The sequence below is a fragment of the Homo sapiens genome, chromosome 9 (genome assembly GCF_000001405.40).
Source record: "Homo sapiens chromosome 9, GRCh38.p14 Primary Assembly".
Classification (NCBI taxonomy): Eukaryota; Metazoa; Chordata; class Mammalia; order Primates; family Hominidae; genus Homo; species Homo sapiens.
In genome coordinates this window covers 93,026,912-93,039,037 of record NC_000009.12, presented here as the reverse complement: position 1 = coordinate 93,039,037, position 12,126 = coordinate 93,026,912, and the positions used below count along the sequence as shown (strand labels likewise).

Below are 12,126 nucleotides of genomic sequence, written 5' to 3'. Positions count from 1 at the left end.
TTGCTTCCCTATGGGATGGACACTTGGGAGGCCCACCTCCCCTATGTGGTGGCCCAGGCTGAGCCCCCAGAGAGTCTGCTAGCAGCACCTGGTGCATGAGCAAACGGAAGAAAAGTAAATTAGGGGCTGGACGCAGTGGTTCATGCCTGTAATCCTAGCACTTTGGGAGGCTGAAGTGGGTAGATCACCTGAGGTCAGGAGTTCCGGACCAGCCTGGCCAACATGGTGAAACCCCGTCTCTACTAAAAATACAAAAATTAGCTAGGTGTGGTGTGGTGGTGCACACCTGTAATCCCAATTACTCAGGAGGCTGAGGCGGAGGGTGCACTGAGCTGAGATCGCACCACTGCACTCCAAGGCTGGGTGACAGAGTGAGACTCCGTCTCAAAAAAAAAAAAAAAAGTGAACGAGGGAATCCTGAACAGTCCCCAACTCACTGTATGACCTTGGGAAAGTGCACTTCCTTCTCTGGGTCTGTTTCACTATTGCCAAGACGCCTTCTCAGTCATAATTCTCCTCTCAGGCAGCTGGGGAGTACTGGGCTTGCAGCAGGCCCTCCTGGAGGCTCATTCATCTTCTCCAGGTCTGCCAGGCTGCAGCCAGCACCCTGCTCTGGGCCTAGAGAGGTGGGGTGTGCCGGGTGGGGAACCTGCCCATGGCAGAAGCACACTCCCTCCCCTCCGCCCTGGTTTGCTCTCTCCTCCCCGCCCCCGCTCTTGCACCTGTGAAAGCCTTTCTGCTCTGGTGTCCAGTGTGCTCCAACCTCAGGCCCTAGGCTGGTACCAGGAGCCCCCATCCTGCAGGCTGTGGTGCAGGGGAGCCTCGGAAGGGCCCCCAGCCCAGTCCCTCCCTGACACCCATGGTAATCCCAGGTGTGGTAATCCCACACCCCAGACTCTGTGCTGCCCCATTCGACGTTCTTCAGGCCCGAGACCCCGGGAGCCACCTCCTACTCAGCCACAGGCCTCCCTTCCCCCCACCCAGGGGGTGGTCTCCTATGCCTCTGGAGGGGGGTGGCCTTGGGGAGAAAGGGGAGGGAGGATGGTAAAGAGGCCAAAAGCCAGCATGCGACCAGCCAGCATGTGTCCAGGCTCTGCCACTCCATGGACGGGCAGTGGAGTGTGCCCAGGCCCTGGGCTGTGGGATGGGAGGGCTGGAGCTGGGGGCGGGGCAGTGTGTGGCGAGAGGCCAGGCCCAGGCAGCCAGCTCCCCAGCAGCATCCTTGCTGGGGTGTCCCGCAGGAGGGGTCTCTGGGAACAGACCCTAGGAAGGCCAGCTCTGTAAGGGCACAGCACGCAGGCTCTGCATGCTGGAGGCCTCTCACTGCCCCTGTCTGAGCCTCAGCTTCCTCTTTTGGAAAAAGTGGGAACAGACTACAGCCACCAGTATGACAGCAAACAAGCTCCCATCAGCACTGGCCTCGCAGCAGGCGGCAGAGTCTGGGGGCACGCCCTGCCCCCAGGCCTGCGGTGACAGACCTTGTCTCTGCCTCCCAGCGGACTAGCCAGGTTGGTGGGTGCAAGAGAGAGGGCTCGAGGCTAGGGGACTCTCCATGGCGACCCCACAGCACAGTCTTTGGCCCCAGCAGACACCTGCCCTGCTGGATTCACCATGGCCGGCAGGCCAATTCCAGGTGCCTGCTCGGTTCCGGAGCTGTGGGGCTCTGGGGGTGGCCTCTCTATGACTCAGTTTCCTCAGCTGTCAAGTGGGGATTTCCTGGGGTTGTGGTGAGATGGCAGAAATAGAACTACTGAAGCAGGCAGAGGACGGAGTCCTGACCCTTCAAAGAAGGGCCTCATTAGGGCTGCAGCCGATGCTTAGTAGACGTGTGTGAGGGAGCGGCTCCGGCACTGCTCTGTAGGGGATGAATGTGAGTCAGAGCTCAGCTCTGCAGGGGAGAAGGCAGGGCCAACGGGCTGGGGTCCCCTCGAGGCCTCCTCCACCCCGTCCCTGCTCCAGCCTGAGCTGGGTGAGGGGCTTTGCTGCTTCCTTGGGCAGCAGCTGGAGCCGATTGAGACGCTGCTGTGCAGCTGAAAGGGTCTGATTCCATCTCCCCCTGGTGGGCACTGTCCAATGTGGAAGTATGCAGGTTGTTTAGCATCCCTGAGCCTCAGTTTCCTTAGTGTGAAGTGGGACCAGAACATCCAGCATAGCATGGGAAGCTGTGGCAGAGGCCCAGGTAGCCAGCAGGGGCTCCGTGTGCAGTGGCTGCAGCAGCATCCCAAGCGTGGCCCAGCTAGAGCTCGTGGGAGCTCACCTGTGCCCTCACCTGTGCCCCCATCTCAGCTGTCTCCGCCTCACCTGTGTTCTCATCTCACCTGTCCCCCCCATCACCTGTGACCAGTCTCCCATTTCTGGCTCTTCCTCCTGCCCTCTCAGTCCCCCAGGTAGGTGCCCTGCTTGTCTTCCCAGGTGTCTCCACATGGTGCTATATGGATATTAGAGGGGCGGGGGTCCTGACCAGTGAGCACCCCCAATCACTGGTCCCTAAATTCCCCCACTCTCTCCCAGAGGCCCTCAGGGCTCTGATGCAAACAGCACCCCCACCCCAAGTAGCCTTTGCAAGGTCCCCACTGGCACCATCTTGAGTGCCCTGCACCCCACCCTCCCCATCTCTGAGCCTGGCCATCTTCACCTGCCACCTGCCCACCCCCTGGCAGGACAACAGATGCAGAACTGCTTTCCAGGTGGTGTGTGGCCGATGTGATTCCATCACCCTTGTCCCTCAACCCTTTATCAGCCAGCCCACCTTGTGGGGGGACGCTGCTGAGGGGCTGGGGAGAGATCACCGAGGCTGCGCCCACTGCTGGTGGCCAGTGTTTATTTATGCAGATAAGCACTGTGTGCCACTAGCATCAGGAACAGCCACAAATCTCATGCGCCTGCCACTCAGTGGCTGGGGTAAGTCCTAGCAGAGCTTCTGAGCGTGGTTATTTAGGAACCATGAGTCCAGCTAGGATGGGGCAGGCCCACCTCCTGGGGGCTGCAGGCAGAACCTCAGGAGAGGACAGAGAAAGGAGGTGGGAAGCAAGTCACGATTCAGCTCACACGGTGTAGACAGGCTGGGCAGAGGCGGGGTGGACCACGCTGCAGACCAGCAGGATGTGGCTGTCCCTGGCAGTGCCCATGCTGCCTCTTTCTGCCTTCCGGGCCAGCATCACCACACGGCCCATATGGATGATGGTTACTTTGGCAGTCGGCCCCTGCTCTGGGCCACACTGCTGGGGCTGGAGGCCAGGCTCTTAGCCAAAACTTGCTGGGTGACCCTTGGCCAGTGGTTGCCCCTCTCTGGGCCTCAGTTTCCTTCCCCCCAAAGCCAAGTGTCCTGAGCTCTGGGCTGTTGGCCCACCCTCAGCAGTCCAGGGCGCTCTTCATGGGGCCTCCAACACCACCTCCCAGGACAGCACAGGTCCAATGTGGTGGTGTGCAGGGCAGTGGGAGACTCAGCTCACGGAGCAGCTGCGCCCATAGGGACCTGAAGCTGCAGGGCCCCCGGGCTGTCCTGGGCCGTGTCCCCATGGGCAGCAGTGCTTAGGGTTTCCAGCCACTGCTGCTGCAGCTCTGCGGAGGAGGCGCTCAGGTACCAGGACTGCTTGGCCCACTGCAGCTTCCACACATGCCCCGAGTCCAGCCTCTCCTCAGGGTCCGGCACACTCAGTTTGCAGCTGGGGAGAGGGATGGTGCGGGGCAGCCGGCCGTCCTGCAGCAGAGGAGCAGATGGTCAGCGGGGCCACAGCTTCCCGGCCTCGGGCTCACCTCAGTGATGGGGGCCTCTCCCAGGAGGCCACTCCCAGACCCTTGCAACGCAAGGCAGGTGCTGAGCCCGAGGGGTCTGGTGGCTGTGCCTGCACTGCCTTTTGTCAACAGGAGGACGGTCGGTGGGGGCATCCACTGGTTCTTCCCGAGGGAGATATAGGGAGGGGGATGCCTTGCCCACCTCACCAGACCCCCAGACTCCATGGCCTTCTTTGGGCTGTCTGGCCCCTGGGGAGGCGAGGCAGGACAGGCCAGCCCCTGTGACAGAGTAGCAACTGGGGCTCCAAGGGGCCGGGCCAGGGCTGTGTGGGTTCCTGAGTCTCCCCTGACAGGTTCTGTGGCTCCTGGCCACCCTTTGTGCCCCCTTGGCCCACCCCTCCTTGCACCCTGGCTGGCTCTGGGGTCCACCCAGGTGCCAGTAGGTTCTGTCTCCTGTGACTGGCAAGCAGAGGGAATCCTGCGCTGCCGGGGAAACTGAGGCCCCAGGTAACACTGCTCAAGCAGGTGGACCCCAGCTGGTGGCACAGGCCTGCTGTGGGTGCCTCAGGCCTGAGGCTCTGGGCTGCTGGCCTGAGGGCCTGGTGGGGTGGGGACACGTACCTGGCTGCCTCCCTGCAGGTGCAGCACCTGGGGATCTGACATGGGGATGGCGGCCCACACCTCGCTCCAGGTCTCACCGCTCTCTGACAGCCGCAGGGGGCCGCAGAGCAGGCTGGGCTGGGGGTCTGCAGTGGGTGTCTTCTGGGGACACAAAGACACAGGTTAGGGGCAGTCTCCCCTGCAGTGGTCACCCCTGTTCTGAGGAGGCTGGGGTAGGGCCAGGGCCACTGCTTGGGGGGAGCTGGCTGTGGAGACATGGCCAAGATCTGCACAGAGACTGGGACCAGCCTCACCCGGCTTGCAAGGGTCACTAGAAGCCTGCAGGACATAGGCATGTGTGGTATCAGATGGGGTTTGCAGGCTGGGCCCTCCAAGGGGAGGGCATCCATATGCTGGGTCAGGACACATCAAAATCATAGGAAAACCCAACAGCAAGTACCTGAGGGTGGGTCACGGGACAGGGACTTCAAGCGTGTCAGTTCTACACACACCATATACATGCACGTGCGTGCACACACAGCACACACACACACACCACACACACAGGCCCTCCCTCTGTCATGTCACTGTTGGAGCTACTGTCCACCATTTGGACGTGGCTTAGACACCCCCTGCCAGAGCTGGACCCCTCAGACCTGGGCCCCCCTTCGAGGCCAGAGTCCACCTTACAGGGCCCTGGAGGCCCGTGCCCCAAGGACCTGGGGCTCTCAGAACACACCTCGGTATTTAAATTGCAGGCATGAGGGAGCTCGGTAGGCAGTGCAAGGTCCTTCTTCACCATCAAGACCATTCAACACTCAGTCCTAATAGACTTACATCCTTGACTTCTTAGACCAAGGACCTAGGTCAGGGCTCCAACCACAGCTGTAAGTCAGAGCAGCTGGGACTCTGAAAACACACTGACCCCCCGATCACCTCACTGAGCCTCTAGGAGGGAGATCAACACTAGAAGCTTCCCAGGAGACTCCAACGTGCAGCTGGCACTGCAAACCGCAGGCTGTGTCGAGTGGAGAGAAAGGGCGATGTGCTTTTCTGGAAACTCACGTTTTCTTTTTCAGCTGTCCTGCAACCCCCCAGAATAGACTGTATTCTTGAGGAAGGAAGTCAGGGAAAGCAGCAGCTACTCTCAGAAAGAGGAGTGGAGGAGGAAAAGAGGAAGAGAAAGAGAGGAGGAGAAGGGGAGGGGGAGGAGGAGGGAGAGAAAGGAGGAGGAGAAGGAGAGGGAAGAGTAGAAAAAGGGTACGGGGAGGAGAAGGAGCAGGAGGAGGAGGGAGAGGAGAAGGAGAAAGACAGCGAGGCGGAGGGAGAGGAAGGAGGGAGAGGAAGAGGAGAAGGGGACGGGGAGGAGGAGGAGAAGGGGACGGGGAGGAGGAGGAGAAGGGGACGGGGAGGAGGAGGAGGGGGTGCCTGCCTCCAGGGCCCTGCTCACCCTCTGACAGCTGGAGGTGAGGCAGGCAGAGAGAAGGGCAGTATCTCCCCTCAGGTGGGCCTCAAGGCCTGGACTTGAGGGCAGCTTCAATCCATGCCCTCCAACCAGGTGACCAGGAGTGACACTTGTTCCCATCTAACTCCTGGATGCAAATGGTTCCCAAGCCTTGGCCCTGGCTGGTCCCGAGAAGCCAGCGTGCACACACGGGATCTTCCGAGTGTGTTCCCAGCCTGGGGGCCCCACTGAGACACACCCACATCTATCCTGGTCCCAGGGACACTCCGAAAGCAGAGGCAGCTGGAGCTGCTGGGGCACAGGAGCAGGTGTCTGGAGGCTCTGCCGCGCCACCAGGAGGGGAGCAGGAGCTGGGAGCACCCACCTCTGTGCTCTCAGGGGCCACTGGCTGTGTCAGGAAACAATCTCTGCAGACACGGCTCTGCCGGCTGTTCTCGGCCTTGAACTCGGAGCACTTCCCACAGATGACCTGCCAAACAGAGGGCACGTGTGACCCCAGCACCCTGGGACAGAGGATTATCCAGGAAGATGCCAGAGGAGGTAGAGTGGGCGGGAGGTGGAGTGGGCGGGAGGAGACTTAACACAGTGTGGCGTGTGGCGAGGGATAAGAGCTTCTCCTTGAGGGGAGCCCTGTCTGAGGGCAGAGAGCAAGGCTGGCCCTGCTGGGCGTCTGGTACCCACCCTTCTGTCCTGGAGGGTCCAGAGTCCAGGAGTCTTGTGTGCGTGGGAGGAAGAGTGTGAAGAGCCACCAAGCACAGGGGAAGATGCCCCATCACTGGCCATCAGGGAAACGCAAATCAAATTCATAACCAGAAACCACCTCTCACCCCTCAGCATGGCTATTTTCCAGACAAACAATGACAACAGCGACAAAAAGAAAATAGTGTTGGCACGGATGTGGAGAAATTGGAATCCTTGCACTGTTGGTGGGAAGTAAACTGGTACAGCCTCTGTGGGAAGCAGTAGGGTGGTTCCTCAAAATGTTAAACACAGAGTTACCATATGATGCCACAGTTCCACTCGGGGTATGTACCCACAAGAACTGAAAGGAGGATCTGAAGGGATGTTTGTACATTCATGTCCATAGCAGCGTTATTCACAATAGCCAAAAGCTGGAAGCAACCCGTGTCCATCGGCAGATGAATGGATGAAGTTGTCATGGTCTGTCTGTACAGTGGAATGTGATTCAGATGCATGGGTGGAGCATGGGAATTTAGCCAAGGAGTGCTCCTCAGTGACTTTTCCAGAGCTTTTCCTACCCTGGACACTCCCAGCAGGCCCCTTTGTGCCCCCTCCTCTGGCCCCTGCAGCTGCATCCCATCGGTGGTCCTGTCTCTCTCTGCCTCGGTCTCCCTCCCTCTGCTGGATCCTTTTCCCAGCACAAAGAGGCTCCTGCTGTCTCAGGGCCACCCACACCCACTTCTGCATCTGCTTCTCCTGTTCCATCCTGCCCCACGTACTGAATGTTGCAGAGGACTTGGAGGTCCTTGTTCAAACCTTGGGAAATTCTAGTTTGAACCTAAACCTGCAGGCACTGGCTGCTAAGGGACCATGGCACTCAAACACTGAGCTCATATCGCAGGTCTCAGGAGCCACAGCAGAGGGGAGATTGCTCTTTTCAAGTAGATGGAAGGCACCCTCTTCTGGAGTCCTCCTTTTATGAGCATTTTATTTTTGGAATTTCTCTTTTCTCTATCACTTCTTGTGTGAGGAAGCAGGAATACCGGGCAAACCAAGGCAATGAAAGCCAAGCTAAGCCCCAGCAGGCTGACACGGAGATGCAGTGATGTCACTGAGGGCACCGAGCCACCTCTGCTGGGGAAGTCCAGGTTGGCCATGAGGACGCTCACTCCAAGGAAGATTAATGGAGGCTGCAGCTTCTGATCCTGAGTAGTCACAAAGCCTGAAGCCTGGAGCTGAGCAGGGACCTGGGCATGTATTCTGAGGATGGCTCTTAAAGCAACAGATTCTCTCCTCAGGTCTGATGGGGAAACCAGGTTTGAGTTAAATCCCCCAATTCTAGAGTACAAACTGGGTCCCAAACTGAGAGTTCTTTAAGAGGCACAGATCACATTTCCCACTTGCCTGCCCATCCATCCTCTACCATACATTCATCCATCCATCATCCATCCATCCATCATCCCTTCATCCACCCATCCATCCATCCATCCACCCATTCATTATCCACTCATTCATTCATCCATCCATCCAACCATTCATCTATCCACCCATACTTCCGTATGCCATCCAACTATTCGTCTGTTCATCCATCCATCCATCCATCAATTCTCCAGTCATCCATTTATACTTCCTATATATCCACTTCCATTCATACTTCCATATGCCATTTATCTAACTACCCACCTATCCATCCATCCCCTCATCCATCCATCCACGCATCCATCTACCTATTGATACACCCACCTCTCCAACCACTCATCCATTCATCCATCCTTCTACCCACCCACCCATCCATCATCCATCCTTCCAAGGACTCATCTACTTATTCCCCCCCCCCTGCTGCCCCCCCGCCATGTGGCAAAGGTATGACAAGCAACATCAACCGCTTCAGGCACAGGTTGCTGGTGCCCTTTGGAAAAACACCTCCAAAGCATTCTGTGCTGAGATCCAGTTGCTAACACAGATTCAACTTTAATCTCTTAACCTAAAGATACTTAAATGATCAGTTCCTTCCTCAGGGATACTTTTACATTCAACATTAAGCATTGAATTTTCTCCATTCTCAGGAGAAAGGGCTTTGGAGTGAGGGGAATGGAGATGGTGTGCAGCTGGGGCGCCAGTCGGAGGCATTGCCTCATCACATGGGCCCACCAGGCCTTCAGCACCACTGGAGCGCTGGGGCAAAGGCCAGCAGTAGGAGCTTCCAGCACAGCCACACCCTTCACCCGTCTCCAATACACCTTGCAAGGAATGAGGACTATCATCTCCTTGTTCTCAAGGTCACCCAGCTAGGGGTTCTCTGGTTCCAAATCCAGCACTTTTTCAACCACAAGTAGTGTTTGTTGAACACCAGAGCTGACCAGAGAAAAGTGATTTGATTCTACTTCGGACAGGACAGTTTTGCACTCAAGGGTATCTATATCCATGAGCCAGGATCAGGAAGCCCTTCCGTGCAGGGCTGGTGTGCATGGCTGGTGTGCTGCTGGTGAGGACTCAGCTGCTCTGTCAGAGCAGAGGACAGGGTGGCCTCCTGTCCCTGTCCCCCTCTCCCGGGACTCACCGCCCCACACAGCTTGCAGTGATGCCTCCTCTTGGTGATGGAGTTGAAGGTCTCACCACAGCTCTTACAGCTCTGCTTCTCCTTGTCACGTCTGGTCTTAGAGGATAGTTTTCTGGGCTCGAGCTATAAGGAGGCAAATAGATGCCATCAGCTTCTGAATCATGTGTGCACCCTACCCCACACGGCAGTGGAGTGGCAGCTCTCGTGACTGTAAAAGCCACACAGGCTCAAGGCAAAAAGTGGAACATGCAGAAGGGAATGAAGTGAAGAGCCAAGTCAGCCACGTCTCTCTTCCCTCCCTCACCTCCCAGCGGCTGCCTGTGCCCATGGCACCGAGTAAAGATTTTAAGTGGATCAAGATCTTCATGTTTGGAACAACTTGGCCAATGACTTTATCTGGTGCATCTGAGAAACTATTGAAAGGAGCCACAGCTGGAGGAACACAGCACTTACTAGGGTGGGCAGTGGGCAGCACAGCCATGGCCTGCAGCCCTGGGGACGGGGGCATCCCTGTCTGCAACTGGAGCCGTGTGGCCATGCGCCTGCTCTATACTGGGCACCGCGGGCCACACCCTCCAGGCACGCCACATGGATGAATATAGGTGTGCACCCACATGCCTGAGTGTGCAGACAAGCATGGCAACATTTTAGGGGGAGGCTGGACGCAGTGGCTCATGCCTGTAATCCCAGCACTTTGGGAGGCTGAGGTGGGCAGATCACTTGAGGTCAGGAGTTTGAGACCAGCCTGGCCAACATGGTGAAACTCCACCTCTACTAAAAAATATACAAAAAATAGCCGGGCATGGTAGTGGTAGTGGGTGCCTGTAATCCCAGCTACTCGGGAGGCTGAGGCAGGAGAATTGCTTCAACCCAGGAGGCGGAGGTTGGTTGCAGTGATGCAGTGAACTGAGATCCCGCCATTGCACCCCAGCCTGGGCTATAGAGCGAGATTCTGTCTCAAAAAAAAAAAAAAAAAAAAAAAAAAAAAAAAAAAAAAAAAACTGTGAGGACATGTGAGGAAGCCATGAAGAGCTGAGGCCAGGGTCAGGGGCTGTACCCTCCTCTGTCTCCTGTGCCTGAACTGCCTACAGAGGAGGGTGGTGTGGAGGCTGGAGCAGGTGTAGCCTGGGGCTGCCCAGTCCAGCCTTGGTTTCCCTGTCTGATTATGAACAGTGCCAGGTGGAGAGACCCCAGTCTCCTGCCTCCTGTCAGCCCTGCAACCCTGGATGACTCACCTCTCCTTTCTGAGCCTCAGTTTCCTCACCTGTAAAATGGGATGGGTGACTGGTCCCTGGGTCGTAAGCCTCATCACAGTACATAAAACCCCGACTGCGTTTGGCAAGTTGCTAATTACCGTTTCCTGTTACAATAGCCTGCAACCCCTGGAAAGGCCCCATCATTTGATGAAATAACTTCCTGGGCTTTTGAAGCTTGGTCCACACCCAGCATTTCCTCTCTGGGGAGGAGGTGCCTCCCTTGAGACACTTTGTTATGGGTGCCGAAACCACTGTTAAGAAGACTTTAGGAAAAGGCAAAGATATGTATCGAGTTCCCCAGGATGTCAGAGCTGGAACTGCCACTAGAAATGTTTATCTCAACCTCTCCAGTCAGGGAAACTGAAGCCTGCAGGTGTTTTTCTTTCTTTTTTTTTTTTTTTCCTGTTTAAAAGAAAACTACCTAAAATAAGCTTACCATTACTGTAGCTGAGCAGAATAAAAAGAGGTCTGGGATATGCTTTAAAATATTACAGAAAATTGGGGTGTGTGTGTGTGTGTGTGCGTGTGTGTGTGTGTGTGTGTCGGGGCTAGGGGCTGAGGGGCCATAAGAACAGCACCAGGCTGAGGTTTCTGGAGCTGGGGAGGGATACTCATTGCGGTTATCCCCACTTGTATGGGTCCAAAACTGCCTTAGGAAAATGCTAAACAACATACGCTTAAAAAAAGTTTAACATAAACTCTTCAGGTTTAAGGAGAAGGAGGCCCAGGCGCAGTGGCTCGCACATGTAATTCCAGCACTTTGGGAGGCTGAGGCGGGAGGGTTGCTTGAGGCCAGAAGTTCGAGACCAATCTGGGCGACATAGTGAGACCCCGTCTCAACAAAAATCCAAAAAATTAGCTGATGTGGTGGCACGTGCCTGTAGTCCCAGATATTTGGGGGGCTTAGGTAGGAGGATCGCTTGAGCCTGGGAGGTCAAGGCTACAGTGAGTTGTGATCACACCATTGCACTCCAGCCTGGAGAGCACAGCAAGATCCCAACTCAAAAAAAAAAAAAAAAAAAAAAGAAAGAAAGAAAAAGATGAACTGAACTGGTTGGGGGTGAAGAAGCAAGAAAGGGGTGGCTCAGATTGGGCATAAGCATTGGAGGCTGTGATGGGCTGAACTATGTCCCCCCAAATTCGTATGTTGAAAATATAATTCCCAGTAACTCTGAATGTGACTATATTTGGAGACAGGGCCTTTAAAGAGACATTAAGTTAAAATGAGGTCTCAGGTTGGGCCCTGATTCAATCTTACTGGTGTCTTTATAAGAAGAGATGAGGACACAGAGACACAGAGGGAAGACCATGTGTGGAAACAAGGAGGAAACTGACATCTCCAAGCCAAGGTGAGGCCTCAGGATAAACCAACCCTACCCACACCTTGATCTCAGACTTCAGCCTCAGGTAGTATTTTGTTCTGGCAGCCCCAACAAACTGACACCAGTGCCTCTGTGCAAATTCTGGCCGGGCACTTCCAGCTGTGTGGCCTGGTTTGTGGTCCCCGTTCATTGGCCCACCTGCAGGTCCCCCCAGCACCTGTCCTGCTTGGCACAGGAGCCCAAGGGCAGGGCTGGCTTGAGGGTGACAGGGACTCTCACTCGCTGTGCTGCAGCCCCCGGCACCTCTGTTGAATGGGCCTTGCTCCAAAGACACAGGTGAGGCGGCCTGGGCTCCCTCTGCAGTTTCTCTCACACCCAAGACCACAGTGGGGGCTCCAAGCACACTAGGTGGGGAATGGGCATCACTGACCTGGCGGCAAAAACCTCTTCTCCAGGTGGGCACCCAGAGAGGCTGGGAAGTGGGAGTGATTAGTGGAAGGGCAGCCC

The 12,126-nt window shown here is 56.3% G+C and overlaps 1 protein-coding gene across 5 annotated transcripts in view, besides 4 other annotated features; it reads right to left on the bottom strand.

Moving 5' to 3' along the window:
* Positions 1,558–2,451: an enhancer, noted in NCBI's record as "H3K4me1 hESC enhancer chr9:95798869-95799762 (GRCh37/hg19 assembly coordinates)". NCBI's record gives its function as "activates a minimal SCP1, AML or CMV promoter by ChIP-STARR-seq in primed H9 embryonic stem cells {active_cell/tissue: H9 hESC(primed)}" and the evidence as "EXISTENCE:reporter gene assay evidence [ECO:0000049][PMID:30033119]".
* The window catches only part of FGD3 (FYVE, RhoGEF and PH domain containing 3), an 88,711-nt gene continuing 79,389 nt past the window's right edge, over positions 2,805–12,126 (bottom strand). For 4 of the 5 annotated variants that reach the window (NM_001083536.2, NM_001369951.1, NM_033086.3 and 1 more), the window contains 4 exons: positions 9,042–9,164; positions 6,165–6,269; positions 4,357–4,497; positions 2,805–3,700 (listed from right to left, as the gene is read on the bottom strand). In NM_001083536.2, the coding sequence (NP_001077005.1) occupies positions 3,449–3,700; positions 4,357–4,497; positions 6,165–6,269; positions 9,042–9,164 (621 nt within the window). In that variant the 3' untranslated portion in view covers positions 2,805–3,448. The remainder of the gene's footprint in view (positions 3,701–4,356; positions 4,498–6,164; positions 6,270–9,041; positions 9,165–12,126) is intronic. The other variant, NM_001286993.2, reaches the window with a different exon arrangement.
* Positions 3,278–4,071: an enhancer, noted in NCBI's record as "H3K4me1 hESC enhancer chr9:95797249-95798042 (GRCh37/hg19 assembly coordinates)". NCBI's record gives its function as "activates a minimal SCP1, AML or CMV promoter by ChIP-STARR-seq in naive H9 embryonic stem cells {active_cell/tissue: H9 hESC(naive)}" and the evidence as "EXISTENCE:reporter gene assay evidence [ECO:0000049][PMID:30033119]".
* Positions 9,012–9,511: an enhancer, noted in NCBI's record as "H3K4me1 hESC enhancer chr9:95791809-95792308 (GRCh37/hg19 assembly coordinates)". NCBI's record gives its function as "activates a minimal SCP1, AML or CMV promoter by ChIP-STARR-seq in naive H9 embryonic stem cells {active_cell/tissue: H9 hESC(naive)}" and the evidence as "EXISTENCE:reporter gene assay evidence [ECO:0000049][PMID:30033119]".
* Positions 9,512–10,013: an enhancer, noted in NCBI's record as "H3K4me1 hESC enhancer chr9:95791307-95791808 (GRCh37/hg19 assembly coordinates)". NCBI's record gives its function as "activates a minimal SCP1, AML or CMV promoter by ChIP-STARR-seq in naive H9 embryonic stem cells {active_cell/tissue: H9 hESC(naive)}" and the evidence as "EXISTENCE:reporter gene assay evidence [ECO:0000049][PMID:30033119]".